Below are 18,343 nucleotides of genomic sequence, written 5' to 3' on the forward strand. Positions count from 1 at the left end.
CCAGGGAGAGTCACCACCGCCCAGGAGCACCACCACTACCGGGGAGTGTCACCACCACCCATGAGCAGCATCACCACCACCCGGGGAGCACCACCACCACCCGGGGAGCACCATCACCACCCGGGGAGCACCACCACCCGGGGAGCTTCACCACCACCACCTGGGAGCGTCACCACTGCCCAAGAGCACTACCATGACCCAGGAGCTGGGTGGAAATGCAGAATCTTAGGCTCCAGCCACATCTTTTCAAGCTGCTTGGGTGATTCTTGTGAATGTTGAACCTTGAGAAGTGCTGAACTACGCCATTTTAATGTTATTTTTGTACTAGCAGTTCCTTTATTTGAAGCTTTCTAAAAATAAAGGACACTATTTGAAATATGGTTGCCTAATTTAGCTATGTCGGTCAAGGGATGCCACTCCCAGAAAAAAAGTAGTTTCCATCCTCATTTCCTGTTGCCAAACTGATAAAATGCTGAAGTCAGGAAAAGCTGTTTTCTCTAGTTAACTTTGTCCCTTGGCCCTGATGATCCTGGAGACTTCCGAGTTATTGCTTAAAAAAAAAAAAAAAAAAAAAAAAAACCATAGAAACCCCACCCTAATACTGTCCCAAAAGCCAAGAAGATAGTTATTTGTACATGGGAATGTTGAAAGCATTACCCTGCTTCCTTTAAAATTTTATTTTCCCTTCACATCCAGATATAGCCCAGGAAATAATTCATTTTGAAGTTTTTCAAAAGTTTCCAATTAAAAAATCTTGGAAAGTAGTTGACCTATATTTACTGTAACCATATTTTCCAAATAAAATTCCAGACACATGGTCTGATAAGTATGTGTGTACTTACCACAATGTTTAAAGTGCATTGCTTTTTTTCCTTCTTGAAAAAGTAATCCACGTTCATTTTAGAGACTTTAAAAAGGTCAAAGAAGAAACTAAAAACATCTGCAGTCCCACTACCCAGAAATAACCATTATTAACATTTTCATTCATATTTCTTTTCCATCTTTATCAGTAATACGGGATAATTTTTTTAATTATTATTATACTTTAAGTTTTAGGGTACATGAGCACAACGTGCAGGTTTGTTACATATGTATACATGTGCCATGTTGGTGTGCCGCACCCATTAATTCGTCATTTAACATTAGGTATATCTCTTAATGCTATCCCTCCCCTCTCCCCCAACCCCACAACAGTCCCCGGTGTGTGATGTTCCCCTTCCTGTGTCCATGTGTTCTCATTGTTCAATTCCCACCTATGAGTGAGAACATGCGGTGTTTGGTTTTTTGTTCTTGTGATAGTTTGCTGAGAATGATGGTTTCCAGCTTCATCCATGTCCCTACAAAGGACATGAACTCATCATTTTCTATGGCTGCATAGTATTCCATGGTGTATATGTGCCACATTTTCTTAATCCAGTCTATCGTTGTTGGACATTTGGGTTGGTTCCAAGTCTTTGCTATTGTGAATAGTGCCGCAATAAACATAGATGTGCATGTGTCTTTATAGCAGCATGATTTATAATCCTTTGGGTATATACCCAGTAATGGGATGGCTGGGTCAAATGGTATTTCTAGTTCTAGATCCCTGAGGAATCGCCACACTGACTTCCACAATGGTTGAACTAGTTTACAGTCCCACCAACAGTGTAAAAGTGTTCCTATTTCTCCACATCCTCTCCAGCACCTGTTGTTTCCTGACTTTTTAATGATCGCCATTCTAACTGGTGTGAGATGGTATCTCATTGTGGTTTTGATTTGCATTTCTCTGATGGCCAGTGATGATGAGCATTTTTTCATGTGTTTTTTGGCTGCATAAATGTCTTCTTCTGAGAAGTGTCTGTTCATATCCTTCACCCACTTTTTGATGGGGTTGTTTGTTTTTTTCTTGTGAATTTGTTTGAGTTCATTATAGATTCTGGATATTAGCCCTTTGTCAGATGAGTAGATTGCAAAAATTTTCTCCCATTGTGTAAGTTGCCTGTTCACTCTGATGGTAGTTTCTTTTGCTGTGCAGAAGCTCTTTAGTTTAATTAGATCCCATTTGCCAATTTTGGCTTTTGTTGCCATTGCTTTTGGTGTTTTAGACATGAAGTCCTTGCCCATGCCTATGTCCTGAATGGTATTGCCTAGGTTTTCTTCTAGGGTATTTATGGTTTTAGGTCTAACATGTAAGTCTTTAATCTATCTTGAATTAATTTTTGTATAAGGTGTAAGGAAGGGATCCAGTTTCAGCTTTCTACATATGGCTAGTCAGTTTTCCCAGCACCATTTATTAAATAGGGAATCCTTTCCCCATTTCTTGTTTTTGTCAGGTTTGTCAAATATCAGATAGTTGTAGATATGCGGCATTATTTCTGAGGGCTCTGTTCTGTTCCATTGGTCTATATCACTGCTTTGGTACCAGTACCATGCTGTTTTGGTTACTGTAGCCTTGTAGTATAGTCTGAAATCAGGTAGCATGATGCCTCCAGCTTTGTTCTTTTGGCTTAGGATTGACTTGGCAATGCAGGCTCTTTTTTGGTTCCTTATGAACTTTAAAGTAGTTTTTTCCAATTCTGTGAAGAAAGTCATTGGTAGCTTGATGGGGATGGCATTGAATGTAGAAATTACCTTGGGCAGTATGGCCATTTTCACTATATTGATTCTTCCTACCCATGAGCATGGAATGTTCTTCCATTTGTTTGTATCCTCTTTTATTTCATTGAGCAGTGGTTTGCAGTTCTCCTCGAAGAGGTCCTTCGCATCCCTTGTAAGTTGGATTCCTAGGTATTTTATTCTCTTTGAAGCAATTGTGAATGGGAGTTCCTCGTGGTTTGGCTCTCTTTTGTCTGTTATTGGTGTATAAGAATGCTTGTGATTTTTGCACATTGATTTTGTATCCTGAGACTTTGCTGAAGTTGCTTATCAGCTTAAGGAGATTTTGGGCTGAGACGATGGGGTTTTCTAGATATACAATCATGTCATCTGCAAACAGGGACAATTTGACTTCCTCTTTTCCTAATTGAATGCCCTTTATTTCCTTCTGCTGCCTGATTGCCCTGACCAGAACTTCCAACACTATGTTGAATAGGAGTGGTGAGAGAGGGCATCCTTGTCTTGTGCTCAGTTTTCAAAAGGAATGCTTCCAGTTTTTGTCCATTTAGTATGATATTGGCTGTGGGTTTGTCATAGATAGCTCTTATTATTTTGAGATACGTCCCATCAATACCTAATTTATCGAGAGTTTTTAGCATGAAGAGCTGTTGAATTTTGTCAAAGGCCTTTTCTGCATCTATTGAGATAATCATGTGGTTTTTGTCTTTGGTTCTGTTTATATGCTGGATTAATACAGGATAATTTTTATCCACTTGACTATCACACTGTATATATAATTTTTCATCCTGAACTTTTCAATTAAAGCTATGTTACAAGGATTTTATCACATCATTAAATATTCTTTGTGGAGTTTCTTTTTAATGGCTGCATAATATTCTATCTCTGCATATACAGCAAAGATAGAATATATAATTATTTTTACCCACTACACATATCATCAAACATGTAGTTGCCATCTTTTTTTTACTATTATTAAAAATACCGTGGTAAACATTGTTATATATACATCTTTGTTCACAGTTTTGGAAATTTCCACTGTGTGATCAAGAAGAAGAAATACTGCATAATAGGATAAAAACATTTTAAATCTCTTGATATGCATCACCAACTTAAAAAACAGAAATGTACTAATTTGTACTTCACACCTGTTTCTCAAGAAAATATTTTAGATTAGTACTGTTCCAGAAAATTTGGAAGGTTTAAAATATATATTTATAGAGTAATTATTATGTGCCAGCCACTGTGCTAAGTGCTTAATATGTATTGTGTCATTTACTCCTTGCAAAACTGCCATGAGTAGGGACGAGGTGCTATTATAATTCCCATTTTAAACACAAACAGTTAAGCAACAAGCCCAAGGTTGTACAGCCAATTCACTGTGAAGCTAAAAGCTGATGGCAGAGTGAATTCAGTGTAGGCCTTGTTTTTTCTGACTCCAATAGTTATGCTCTGCTCCGTCCACTCTGGGTGGCTTCTGCAACAAGGATCCCAGCTCAGAGTCTGCCACAAGGGTCAGGAACCCTCATGAGAGAGCCTGTGCTGCCCATCATGCCCTAGGACAGACAGTTGACCCTGGGGCCAAGAGCTCTGCACAAGGACCTAGAGGCACCCCTGGTTAATGACATGCTTTCAGTGATGCTGGCAAGCTTTGGAAGTGGCAAAGAAAAATGATGCCCTGGGGAGCCAGCAGGATCACTGTGGTCACTTGCAAACATGTGAGATGCTGGGAGCCCTTTGTATAGAAGCAAGGGACTGCGTGGAAGGAGTGGGAGGTAGTGGGGATTCAGAAATGGAACTTGTGTGCCCAGAGGCTGTCGGCAATCCCATTGAAGCCAAAGCCACCGTGGCCTAGGGAAAAGTGACTTCCGTCTTTCCTTTTTAGGTAAATTGATGTGGGGCTATTCAGGGCACCCCCGCCTCCAATTCCACACATTGTGTAGGCAGCTCATGGCCTCAGGCATGGATGGGGCTTGAAACCCAGCCCAAGCATTATTTGCCAAGCAGGGTGTCGGCAGAGCTGTCTCCACCTCGCACTGGGCCTTTGACCTCATACCCTCCCCTCCCTACCTGCTCCTGCAGCTCCAGCCACGCTGGCCCCCTTGCTACTCCTCCAAGGATGAGGCTTACCCTGGATGCAGGGTAAGAGCCTGCATCTCTGGCTCTTCTCTCTGCCTGGAAAACTTGTTCCTATCTCCCAGGTCAAGTCCTTTTCCAATGCCTCCTTCTCTAGATCATCCTGTGAACAATTACAATCCCAATCCTCCCACCCACTCCCCTTAGGGGAACAGCGATCTGTGTTTATTAATCTGTTCCAAGGACCTAGAACACTCCTGGAAAATAGTAGCTCTCAGTAAATGTGTTGCATTGAGCAAAATCACTAAATGGGCGAACAGTGGATTTAGTTTTACAATGGAAGAACTAAAGCCTGAGAGGCAAAGTGACTTTGACCAAGATCGCTTACAGATTTTCTTTCCCCTAAGTGCCCTAACTTCCACAGCTAGCCTTGAAGTCCTTCAGTTCAGCCCAAACAAAACTCTCCCCCAGTGATGCTAATCTCAGATAGGTACAGATCTGGTAAAGCAACTGGAAAAAGGTAGGAATCACAAATAAGCATAACTCAGGCAGTAAGTTTTAGACACATATGCAATGCATGAGAAATAAAACTATCTCTTCTGAGCAGCAGGCAGATTCGTATACCTTCTCTTTCCTACCCTCCCAAGAACAACTATTCAAAAACAACAAAGCCACCAGGAGGCCAAGTCCCCAGAAACCACATGATTTAATAGCTCAGATCCATCTCTAACCCATCCCCTCCTCTCTGTAAACAGCCCCACACTGGCAGAGATCATTCCAAGCGATGAGACGAAGCGAGCTGCCCCAGGGAATGTTCGAAACCACAGCTTGTTAGGAATGCCCAATACAGTGAACACCTCTGTGAAATATTTCCCTCTCTCACCAAGCATTTGCAGAGAACAAACAGACAATACATAATTTTGGAGCAGATTTATTTTTTTCCATGATCTTTGCTCTCTTTTAACAAGCAACCTGTTGTGTATGTTAGCTTAAAATAAAATCAAATCCTGACAATGATTATCAAAATCTAGAACCCCAAGTATAAAAGCTATCTCTCAGTAAGCAGTATTCTGGGATTTCAAATACAAGGTCCATAGATCCTCAAGGGATCCTTGCATGGAATTCAGTGGTCTGTGGACCCTCTAAAATTGTATACAAACTTTTGTGGCTATATGAATATCCACACAGTCTTTGAAATTCAAAATTAGGTACCACATTTTAATACCTTATCAAAATTTTTGATACCAAAACCTAATTTACAACATATTAAATTTTCTCTTGTGGGGGTGCTGTTATCAAGACACAATACCCTAGCTAAATAAACATTTAGTTTGGTTAACCACACAGAGGACATAATAAATTAATTTCCCAATTGCTATTCCATGCTGTTGACAAAATTATCAGTTTGGTCTTTAACTCTCTCTCTCTCTCTCTATCAGTTAGCCTTGTGCAAAACACTATTTTGCAAAGCAGATATTTTTAACCACACTTTGCAGATGTGAAACCTGAGACTCAGAGAGGTAGTAAGTTATTGGGGCCCTCCGCTGGTAAATAGAGGGACCAAGATCCTAAAACCAGCCTATTGGGTCCTGAAGCCTGTGTCTCTTCAGTGAGGCAAACCACTATCTGTTGAAATTTATAATTTGTTTCCTGAAATGAAGAATTTCAGTCCAAGATTTTCCTTTAGTGGTGGGATGGTTAAACAAGTATATTTCACACCAGCAATTACATTCGTGAAATATTTTTAAATATTGGTGGTTCTGACATGGTAAAAGTCGTTATAATGTATTTTTTCTAATTTTAGCTCTGAACAATCAATTAATGGCAGCCTAAAATGCGGCTGTAACCCAGTTTAGAACTTTCCAAGAATCCTCCCATTGGAGCCAGATGAAGCAGCCTAATGTAGCAAATGAGAACTTCTGAGTCCAGAGCGGGGCAAGCTCCAATCTGCCAATAGCCTTGCCAAGAGAGCTGGAGGAAGTGGGGGAGTCACGTAACCGCCTACCTCCTCTTTCCCAAAACAGGAGCCACATACCAACCTCTCAGCAGGGTGGGTTGGGGCCACAAGACTTAGGGCCTACCTCTCCTCGGTGGCCAATGACATTTAAAGAAAACAGTTGACTGCATCTGTGAAGATGTCATAACGTGGAGCTTCCCTGGGAGAAAATAATTTGGGAAGGGAGGGAGACATTACTGATATCTTTAAAACACAGAGTGTTCAAAATGAGAGAACCACGTGCTTCTCTCCATACCACTGGGGTGGTTTTGGTGCCCGTCTTTGGTGTGCATTGCGGGTCTTTGTGGGGCCTGTGGTAACAACTCATGATTCATCAACTACAAGTTACCATCACAATTTCCAAGTCATTGGGAAGTATTTCATCCCCCAGAGCGGCAATTTTCTCCATCAGCAAGAGAATCAAAAGGAAGTGGGAACATCTGGCTCGATATGAAAGCCTGAGAGTGCCCCGACATACACAGGCTACGGAGAAGTCGGCCCCTTGCAGATATTGGAAAGCAAAGCTCCGTCTACCTTCGCCAGCCACAGTTTCCAGCATCGCTTCCAAAAATCAATCTTGCATATTTGCTGGCGGACCCACTTCTAAGTGATTGGATTCTAGCACACTCCAATCAAGCATCAGCTTTGGTTCTTATGACGCAGTCACTAACATCACACACGACCAAAACAGCAGGGCGCTCTCTCAAGTCTCCTCTTACTGTGCCATCGTGGGGAACAGTCTCATGTGAGTGCAGGCGTGGGCCGGCTTCCCTTAGTTGGGAAGGGAGGGAGATATTATTCATATCCTCTCCACAGTGCACTCGCTTCTTCATGCTCATGTAGAAACACAGACATGTGCCTGTGGCTAGAACTCTTATCCAGGTTGATTTAACCTAGAGAAATGACGCTTTAATGTCACCATCAAAAAGCTAACCAATAGTTCTTAATGGAGGGATTACTGCCCCCTAGAGAGCATTTTGGAAATGTGTAGGGGCTTTATTTTACTTTATTTATGTATTTATTTGAGAGGGAGTTTTGCTCTTTCGCCCAGGCTGGAGTGCAGTGGCACGATCTCGACTCACTGCAACCTCCGCCTTACGGTTTCAAGTGATTCTCCTGCCTCAGTCTCCCGAGTAGCTGGCATTACAGGCTTCCACCACCACGCCTGGCTACTTTTTGTATTTTTAGTAGAGACAGGGCTTCACCATGTTGGCCAGGCTGGTCTCGAACTCCTGACCTCGTGATCCACCCACTTGGGCCTCCCAAAGTGCTGGGATTACAGGCGTGAGCCACCGCGCCTGGCCCTGTTTTACTTTATTGATAGTCATGAAGATGGGGTGTGACCTCATTTAGTGGGTGGAGGCCTGGAATACTAGAGGGCCCACAATGCAGAAGACGATCTTGTGGAACTTTTCAATGTCCCACCAGACAGTTATGCAGGTGACAAACTTGTTTATAATTTTCTGAGCCTGGAACCCAACTCCACTTTTACATATAACTACAAATTATTTACAGTTAGGATGGAGAATCACTCTTCTAGCACATAATTAGGGGTTCTAGGAATGTCTGGTGTCAGCCAGGAAAGGGTCCAAGCTCTGAAACGAAATCATCAGGCTTTGAAATTGGGCTCTTCCATTTACCAATCTGTGCCTCAGTTTCCTCCTCTGTCAAATGGGGCTCACAACAGCACCTGCTTCATGAGATGTGAGAATTAAATTAATGCATATTAAGCCCTTAGAACAGTGCCAGTTGTTTCTCACCTTGTGACAACGAAAGAAATATTAGAAAAATATTCAGTATAATCCCATTCCTCTGAAACAGCATCCAAATGTCACCTGTTAGTAACATCTCTAAGATGAGAGAATGTTCTAATTTAACACTGCTATTTTCCTTCAAGGTGGCAAACAACAATCATTCACATTTTTACATCTTTTAGTAGAGTTCTTGATTTAGTAAAAATCAGACTTAGGTCAAGTTGGACATTACTGAACTGCTGGCCACACTGCAAGCCCAGGTTAGAGCTGGAGTCAGTCCCAGAGAGACTGGAAGGAGAAAGTATCCCACACTCATTTTAAAGTAAATAAAAAGATTCTCAAGTATATTTCTCCATCTTTCAATATTTTGAGCATTTTCAGACACTTAGAGAGTGTGAGCAAAAATATTTAATCTTTAAGTTAACAGAGGGGCTTAAAAACAATAAGATACTGCAGCAATCTGAGGACTGAGGGGCTTCAGGATGACTTTAAGAAGAGACTTCTGCAGAGCTCAGATGCTCGATACGCAAAGGAAATCTGTCGGAGCGGCGTCCAGCTAGCTCCGTGCGTGCACAGACACTTGAGCATTATTTTCCTGGCACTCAGCAATTCATTCCCCAGACCTGAGAACATCATCTAAATCTTAATTGACGCCATAGCTACACTTGACTGGGAGAGGAAGACGAGTCCAGGCTCCATATGTATGTAAATCACATATTATAATTGGATCTGTAATTCTCATTCCCTTATTCACTTTTTCTAATTTAATTCACAATAATATATAGATATAAGGTATAGGTTATTGTAAATTAAATTAGATATATAATATGTGTGTTTAGATACAGAGAGACAGAGACAGTGTGTACCATTTTATAATATGAGAGCTCTGCATCTTCTAAGACCTGAGGAAGGTCATCCCAGCTTTCTGTCAGGAAAGGAAACAGCACTTCTCAAAAAATAGAAAGGTAACATGTTCACCTAGTGCTCCAGCACCTCATCCATTCTGGGGATGCTGTAGCTGCCATTTTTTTTTTTATAATTGACTTCCCCCTATACTCAGTTACTTCTAGAATGGGACTCAGCAAACCTTTCCTTAGAAAGAGAGAAATAGTAAATATTTTAGGCTTTGTGGACTGTCTCTGTGTCTCTGTTTTCTTCCCTTTTTTTTTTTTTGAGACAGAGTCTCACTCTGTCGCCCAGGTTGGAGTGCAGTGGTGCGATCTCCGCTCACTGCAAGCTCCACCTCGTGGGTTCACGCTATTTTCCTGCCTCAGCCTCCCGGGTAGCTGGGACTACAGGCACCCGTCACCATGCCTGGCTAATTTTTTTTTTTTTTTGTATTTTTAGTAGAGACGGGGTTTCACCATCTTAGTCAGGATGGCTCAATCTCCTGACTTCGTGATCCGCCCGCCTCGGCCACCCAAAGTGCTGGAATTACAGGTGTGAGCCAGCCACCGTGCCTGGCCTTTTTTTTTTTTTTGGCAGAGTCTTGCTCTGTCACCCAGGCTGGAGTGCAGTGGCATGATCTCGGCTCACTGCAACCTCTGCCTCCTGGGTTCAAGTGATTCTCCTGCCTCAGCCTCCTGAGTAGCTGGGATTACAGGTACACACCACCACACCCTGCTAAGTTTTGTATTTTTAGTGGAGACTGTGTTTCACCTTGTTGGCCAGGGTGGTCTTGAACTCCTGACCACAAATAATCTGCCCGCCTTGGCCTCCCAAAATGCTGGGAATACAAGCGTGAGCCACTGTGCCCGGCTTCTTCTTCTTCTTCTTTTCTTACAACCATTAAATTTTAAAAAATCATTTCTGCTAGATGTAGCTTGTGACATAGTTTACCAACCCCGGCTTTAGAATGGGCCTAATAGTATTGCCCAGGATGGATTCAGCTCACGTGAAGGCTTGCATTCTTTGGCAGAGCATGATATGGAGCTGGAGAGGAGGGGAGAGGAGAACAGAAGGCAAGGTGGGAAAGGACACCTGGCAGAGACAACATCTGGATCCTGAACCTGGAGGAGAAATCCACTTATATCTCACTTTAGATTTGCCAGCTGCTTTTATTTTTATTTGGACTTACAGAAAGGTGAGGCTGGGTGTGGTGTCTCATGCCTGTAATCCCAGCACTTTGGGAGGCCGAGGCAGGTGGATCACGAGGTCAGGAGATGGAGACCATCCTGGCCTACATGGTGAAACCCCATCTCTACTAAAACACAAAAAAAATTAGCTGGGAGTGGTGGTGTGCGCCTGTAGTCCCAGCTACTCGGGAGGCTGAGGCAGGGGAATCACTTGAACTGGGAGGCAGAGATTGCAGTGAGCTAAGATCACGCCACTACACTACAGCCTGGGCAACAGTGAGACTCCGTCTCAAAAAAAAAAAAAAAAAAAAAGAAAGAAAGAAAGGAAGGAAGAAAGAAAGAAAGAAGGAAAGAAAGAAAAAGAAAGAAAGAAAGAAACAAACAAACAAAAAGAAAGGTAAGAGGCAAGAGGATTGGGAAAGAATTCTCCATGTATAGTGACCAGCCTTGAAAAACAGAATTAATACCTGCTGTTGGAGAAAAGGGCAGGCAAACTTACTGCCCATCATGAAAGATTTGGGTTCTCTGAGCTCAGGGATCTCCTCCTATAATGCAAGTCACTATGTGAATAAGTGTCATCTGGCCTTCTTCACACGCCCTATGGAAATTGGGGCTCAGGACAGATATGAACAACTGCTGATACTCTGCCTACTGCTATTGCTGTGAGTATTAAAGTCTTATGTTTCTGACCCAGGCATCTCATGACTGTCTACGCCTGTGCCTTGAACAGGAAGAATCTACAGAGAAAGGAACTAGGAATCAAGGAAGCATCCCCCAAAACATTCTGTGCCATCTTCAGATTCTCTTATGTTAATGAAACAATTTTATATAATTCTCAGGTTTTCCTCTTCAAAAGATTCAGAAGGCTGTGAGACATTTGAGAGCAATGACTATATTTTGTTTACCTTTGTGTCTGGCTTGGAATCTAAAACAATACCTAGCATAATATGGATATTTAGTAAAGAAAGAGAGGAAAGAAGGAAGGAAAAAAGGAAGGAAGGAAAGGGGGAGGGGAGGAAGGAGGAAGGATACGGAGAGCGAGGGGGAAGAAAGGAAAGAGGAAGTGCTCACTTATGTAAATACTGTTATAAGAATTTTCTATGACTATTCAATTTTTCAAAACACAGAGAAAAATCAGATATTTATAGCTCTGCCACTTTAAAGCATCAGATGAATTTATCTATGTCTTTCTTTACCCACAGGTTGAGAAGAAAATACGGGAGTGAACTGTAGCAATAAACGGTTTGTGGGTAATTTTGGTACTTTAATGTGGCTTCTAAAATGTGTACTACATGACTTAGGAAGGAATATTTAAGGAGCCCAGCTGCACTAACGTGGGTTGCTATTGTGTTATTACTAAAATAGCTGAGAGAGACTCTCTGTGCAGTCACCCTAAGTGAGTTATTTTGAGTGAGTTGCTATGGTGGTATGACCTGCATGTATGACTAAACATACAAAAAAGCCAAAAGGCCAGAAATGAAGTGTCAGCTATGAAGATGCTAGTGATAAAAGCCTACCCCAAAGCAATGACAGATACTTTGAAAATACTTTGAGGGAATAAAGCACTCTTAGGGAACACAGGGTTTGAAGTAGGACTGTGTTGTTATTATTGAGTTATTTTCCAATAATTTTCGAGAGTCTGCCACAGCTTTGAGGCCAGTCTTTTATATCATTGCCCAGGCAGGGGCTCCATAGCTCAGGGGTTAGAGCACTGCTCTTGTAGTATCATTGCCCTACACAAGTGAATTTGGGTAAAAAGGAAAACAGAAGGAACTTTAACAGGCAAGTATGGAGACTGAAGTTCCACAGTAGCCCCTAGCACCAAATAAAAGTACAACAGGTCTCAATCATCACTTCCAGGCATTGAGAGAAGAAGTGCGATTTTTGAGTCTTGACTTTTGGAATCTGCAAGAGTAAGTAAATGGCTCTCTGTGTCTGTCTGGTGCCTAGGGCCAGCTCTCTCCTCTGACACTGTCCTCATTAGCATGCTAGGTGAGCATGACAACTCCGCTAGTCAGATATCACTACATCCTCAACTTCACAGAGGTGGTCTCTCATCTACCATATTTTCTGAACACCAATTCACAGTGCAGTACTGGGCAAGCTACATAAAAATTTCCTGCGAAGTTTGTAACATTTTTTTAAAGCTAAAAATTAGAGATTCTGATTCTGGCCTGAACCTTGGGAATGTGTATTTTTTAAAAGTTTCCCGAGTGATTTTCATGGGGAATTAGTTTAAAAAACACTGGTATAGACTTTCCACTTTGGAATTTAATCAGGTTGTGTTTTTTTAAATTTCACCTATTGCTGTGTTGGGGCTACTTACCTAGATGTGAGGGCTATATGACCCCACCCCTATCAACAGCACTCCAAATACTGACCAAATGAATGAATGAATGAATGAATGAGGTTGCATTCGGAGTCAGAGGACCAAAAGGAAGAATGTCTTCTTCATGGTATGGTCCCCACATTACTTGGAAAAGAATTATAAATCCCTCTTTCTAAAGAAAGAAAAAAAGAGAAAGGCAGGCAGGCAGGCAAAAAGGAGTGAAGGAAGGAAAGAAGAAAGGAAGGGAGGGAGGGAGGGAAGAGAGAGAGAGGCAGGAGGGAAAGGAAAGAGGGAGGAATTTCATAAATATTTACATAAAATCATCTTTGTTCCTGGGAGCTGAGCCATAAATCTCTGAAGAGACCATTGGATCAGTAAGGCCTGGGAGCTGTGAGTACAGTGATAGCTGTTAGCTCTGGCCCACTCTTGAGTGAGCTGAACGTTTGAGCTATGAGGGCATCCTTCCCCCACAAAATTTCCCCAGTGAGGAGCTCGTGCACCCCATCTGTGCATCAGCCCCACTGACAAACTTTCCTGTCCGCCATCCCTGGTCCATATGGCTCAACTGGGACTCCTCTCCTGGCGGTCACCATAGTCCCCCCTTAAAAGTTTGAAGGTAGCTCAGATTCCATCTATCAGGGTGAAAACCCTGTGTCTTGCTCAGGAATATTCTTCCTCGTCAGCTGTAAGAAAAGAAACAAAAATTAATATTTACGTCCACATGCTGTTTCTTTCCATCCACCCCACCCTGAGTCACCTTTGGACTTGACCTGCTGTGTGTGGAGTCGATGACTCTGCTATAAGCAGCCCTGCTCCCAGAGCGTAGCTCCCAGCCTCTCCCCTGTAAGCACCAGTGCCCCATGCTCTGTGTGTCATACAGAAGTCTATCCCTGCTACCTGGCCACAGCATACTGGATCAGGAGTTAGTACCTGAGCAGAAAGTAGCTCATCTGGTCTTATGCTTAGGCAGCCAACCACCACCAAGGCAGCTTGGACCCAACTTTCTTCCCAAATGCTGGTTCTAAACTGACAGCAGCAAGTCAACCTGAAAAAGGGGGCTACCTCTAAGTTTTGCTTGAGAGAAAGAAAGAGATGAGGGAAGAGGAAGGGAGGGAAGAGGAATGGAAGCACTTCCACAGCAGAAGGGCTGGGCCCTGATAAATAAGTGTCTTTTCCTTTCGAATCATATGCATTGCTGAGGCAGGCCCCCTGCCTCCATTCACACTGACAGCGTTTATAAAGCCAGAGGCCCATATATACTGTATTAGTCCATTCTTGCATTGCTATAAAGAACGATCTGAGACTGAGTAATTTATAAAGAAAAGAGGTTTAACTGGCTCACAGTTCCACAGGCTGTACAGGAAGCATGGCTGGGGAGGCTTCAGGAAACTTACAATCATGGCAGAAGGTAAAGGAGAAGCAGGCATGTCTTACATGGTCACAGTAGGAGAAAGAAAGATGGTGGGAGGTGCCACCTACTTTTAAACAACCAGATCTCATAAGAATTCACTCGCTATACAGTACCAAGGAAGGATGGTGCTAAACCATTCATGATCATCCTTCCCATGATCTAATCACCTTCCACCAGGCCCCACCTCCAACAGTGGGGATTACAATTGAACATGAGATTTGGGTGGGGATACAGATCCAAACCATATCATTCGGCCCCTGGCCTCTCCCAAATTTCATGTCTTTCTCACATTTCGAAATACAATCATGCCTTCCCAGCAGTCCCTGAAAGCCTTAACTCATTCCAATATTAACTCAAAAGTCCACAGTCCAAAGTCATCTGAGACACAGCTATTCTCTTCCACCTATGAGCCTGTAAAATAAAAAAAACAGTTCGTTACTTCCAAGATACAATGAGGTATAGGCATTGGGTAAATACTCTTATTCCAAAAGGGAGAAATGAGCCAAAAGAAAGGGGCTACAGGCCCCACACAAGTCTGAAACCCAGCAGGGTAGCCATTAAATCTTAAAGCTCCAAAATAATCTCCTTTGACTCCATGTCTCACATCCAGGGCACATTAGTACAAGCAGTGGGCTCCCAAAACCTTGAGCAGCACCACCGCCGTGGCTCTGCAGGGCTCAGCCCCTGTGGATGCTCTCCAAGGACTGGTGTTGAATGCCTGCAGCTTTTACAGGTGCAAGGTGCAAGCTGCTGGTGGATCTACCATTTTGGGGTCTGAACGACAGTGGCCCTCTTCTCACACCTCCACTAGACAGTGCCCCAGTGGGGATTCCATGTGGGGACTACAACCCCACATTTCCCCTTTGCACTACCATAAAAGCAGTTCTCCATAAGGGCTCTGCCCCTGCAGGAAGCTTCTGCCTGGACATCTAGGCATTTGCATACATCCTCTGAAATCCAGGTGGAGGCTCCCAAGCCCCAACTCTTGCACTCTGTGCACCCACAAGCTTAACACTACCTGGAAACTGCCAAGGCTTATGATTTGCACCCTCTGAAACAGTGACCTCAGCTCTACCTGGGCCCCTTTGAGCCATTGCTGGAGCTGGAGCAACCAGAATGTGGGAACCAGTGTCCTGCAGCAGTGCAGGGCAGTGGGGCCCTGAGCCTGGCCCAGGAAACCACTCTTTCCTTTTAGGCCTTCAGGTCTGTGATGAGAGGGGCTGCCTTGGAGGTCTCTGAAATGCCTTTAAGGCCTTTTCCCCATTGTCTTGGCTATTAGCATTTGCCATTCTTTTAGTAATTTTCTGCAGCATAATGTAATTTTCTGCAGACTTTGAATTTCTCCCCTGAAAATGGGTTTTTCTTTTCTACCAATGGCCGGGCTTCAAATTTTCCAAAGTTTTATGTTCTACTTCATTTTTGAATATAAAGAATTGGTTCCTTTTTCAACGACCATGTGAATATAAGCCCAGGCTTTTAGAAGCAACCAGACAACATCTTGAATGCTTTGCTGCTTAGAAATTTCTTCTGCCAGACACCCTAAATCATCACTCTCAAGGTCAAAGTTCCAAAAGATCCAAAAGATCCTTAATTCTAAAGATCCGAAGATCCAAAAGGTCCAAAGTTCCAAAAGATCTTTAGTTCCAAAGATCCAAAGATTCTTAGAGCAGGGGCACAATGCCGCCAGTCTCTTTGCCAAAGCATAGCAAAAGTCACCTTTACTCCAGTTCCCAATAAGTTCCTAATCTCCATCTGAGACCTCCTCAGCCTGGACTTCATTGTCCATATCACTATCCACATTTTGGTCACGACCATTCAACAAATCTCTAGGAAGTTCCAAACTTTCCCTTATCTTCCTGTTTTCTTCTGAGCCCTTCAAACTGTTCCAACGTCTGCCAGTTACCCAGTTCCAAAGCTGCTTCCACATTTTTCAGTATCTTTATAGCAATGCCCCACCCCTTGGTACCAATTTTCTGTATTAGTCTGCTCTCACATTGCTATAAAGAACTACCTGAGACTGGATAATTTATAAAGAAAAGAGGTTTACTTGGCTCACAGTTCCACAGGCTGTACAGGAAGCATGACCGGTGAGGCCTCAGGAAACTTACAATCATTGTGGAAGACAAAAGGGAAGCAGGCACGTCTTACGTGGCTGGATCAGGAGGAAGAGAGAGGGGGGAAGGTGCCACACACATTTAAACAACTAGATCTCATGAGAATTAACTCACTATATAGTACCAAGGGGGGATGGTGCTAAACCATTCATGAGAACTCCGCCCCCATGATCCAATCTTCTTCCATCAGGCCCCACCTCCAACACTGGGGATTATAATTGAACATGAGATTTGTGTGGGGACCCAGATCCAAATCATATCATGTACTTTGTGCATATGGCTATTTGTTGGTTTAGTTTAGTTTGTGAGAACACGAAGGAGGTGGTTTTTGTGCCAGATTCAATTCTGTGCAGATTAGAGATTGTTTGAGAGGAAACTGAGCCCCCTTGGGGATTCATAGGAAGCTCAGGAGGGCTGGGAGATTCCAAAACCATGAGAGTTGAGGGTTTCAATCACTTCTACCAAGATCCACAGGAAGAGCAAGGCCACAGCCGACATCTGTATTTGTATACACATATTCATTTACTCACCCAAGTCTAGCAAGCAAGAACAGGAGGGATTTCTGGATACAGCAAGATTGGCTGAAAACGTTCTGCAGAAAGTGAATTTTGTAGGACAGGATGAACATCACTGCTTAAAGAGTAGGAGTATTTCAAGATGGTAAGTGATATCTGTAAAGGCTCAGAGTCTGAAGCAGGAATGATGGGTGAGGGCTAGTGACTAAAGCATAGCAGGTATGACCAGCATTGCCACTGAAGGATTCTCCTTGCTGCTTTAAGCAACAGGCACCTATTGTTTGTCAAGCACCCCCATTCTCCTAGGGAGGGTTTCCAACCACCCCACCTCCATCTCCAGGCTTTTCATGGATGACTATTTTCCATGACCTGCCCCTCTCCTGGTGCTGCAGTGGTTGAATGTGGAGTTCATGGTTCCTATGATGCTGATTCAGAGGCCCTGGCTTGCTGAGCACAGGAGAATGTTGCATGATGAGCAGGAAGGAGGAAGAGATTTTTTTTGGTGGCTTCTAAGTTTCTGGATTCCAGTTAGTTCTGAGATCCAGCCACTTTCCTGTTCTTGGGTTTTAGATAACCCACTTTCCTAAGTTAACCATTACTTGCAACTAAGGAGTTCTATCAAGAACAGTCCATATGAGGCCCTGGAGAGGGAAGATGAAAGAGCCCAGGGGTGACAGGAAGCCTGGCCAGGAAGGTCATATGAGTGGTCCAGGCTTGAGGAGACTGGAATCTTGGCCATAGCTGTGACAATGGGAATAAGCAGACCCAAATGGTGTTGGAGAGGACCAAGCTGTCGGAAGTGATGATGGAGTGGAGGGTTTCCCAGCATTTGGAGTGGCCACCACAGTTACATTTCCTTGTGACACCTTATTGGCTGCAGTGCTTTTATAGCAATGATGTATGGTATAACAGCCCAGTAGCTCCTGGGATGGGACCCAACAAGGAAACATGTCAGCCAAGGGCATTAATTGAGACCCAGGGGGTCTATAACTTTACCCAAAGAAGAGACCTTACCCAGCCTTTCCAAAAGGGAAATTAAGCAATTCAACTATCAATTCACCAGTAAGTCCTATTCTCTCCAAATGCAAATGCAGCTGCAAACCTCTGCAAGAAGCACCGAGGGCAGCTCCCTGGTGGCCCTGGGCTTGAGCTGAAGCATATGGCATCCAGGGAAAGCTGATCAACTGGGAGCTGAGTCCTGGAGGAGCGCCATGACAATAGGAACCAAGAATGTGTCCAAGTCAGAGGAACATTACCGCTCATTAGACAACAGCCTGTGTTTTCTAACCACCTATATAAATACTTGTGGCTCCTTCCCATGTGATCTAGGCTGCTGGTAAGCTTTTGAGAAATTTATAAAGTAGTGATCTGGACAAAACTTTTCCTTGCATAGATCTTTCCTTTGACTAAGATCCCTGACATTAGTTATTACAAATGTAAGAAGGAGTTTCTCGGAACAATGATTCCCTCAGAGCCTTTCT

The 18,343-nt window shown here is 43.3% G+C and overlaps 1 long non-coding RNA gene across 3 annotated transcripts, besides 1 other annotated feature; it reads left to right on the plus strand.

The window, feature by feature from the left end:
* Window positions 6,502-7,007: an enhancer, noted in NCBI's record as "OCT4-NANOG hESC enhancer chr6:159883544-159884049 (GRCh37/hg19 assembly coordinates)". NCBI's record gives its function as "activates a minimal SCP1, AML or CMV promoter by ChIP-STARR-seq in primed H9 embryonic stem cells {active_cell/tissue: H9 hESC(primed)}" and the evidence as "EXISTENCE:reporter gene assay evidence [ECO:0000049][PMID:30033119]".
* LOC101929142 (uncharacterized) lies at window positions 7,347-11,737 on the plus strand. 3 transcript variants are annotated; one of them, XR_943178.4, is made up of 3 exons: window positions 7,347-7,409; window positions 10,337-10,501; window positions 11,696-11,737. It is a non-coding gene; the product is annotated as an uncharacterized LOC101929142 (long non-coding RNA). The 3 variants fall into 3 exon arrangements; XR_001744432.3 differs by lacking the exon at window positions 7,347-7,409 and adding an exon at window positions 9,043-9,119; XR_001744433.3 differs by lacking the exon at window positions 7,347-7,409 and adding an exon at window positions 9,264-9,383.
* Window positions 11,738-18,343: the final 6,606 nt, after the last annotated feature.

The sequence above is a fragment of the Homo sapiens genome, chromosome 6, assembly GCF_000001405.40.
Source record: "Homo sapiens chromosome 6, GRCh38.p14 Primary Assembly".
Taxonomy (NCBI): Eukaryota; Metazoa; Chordata; class Mammalia; order Primates; family Hominidae; genus Homo; species Homo sapiens.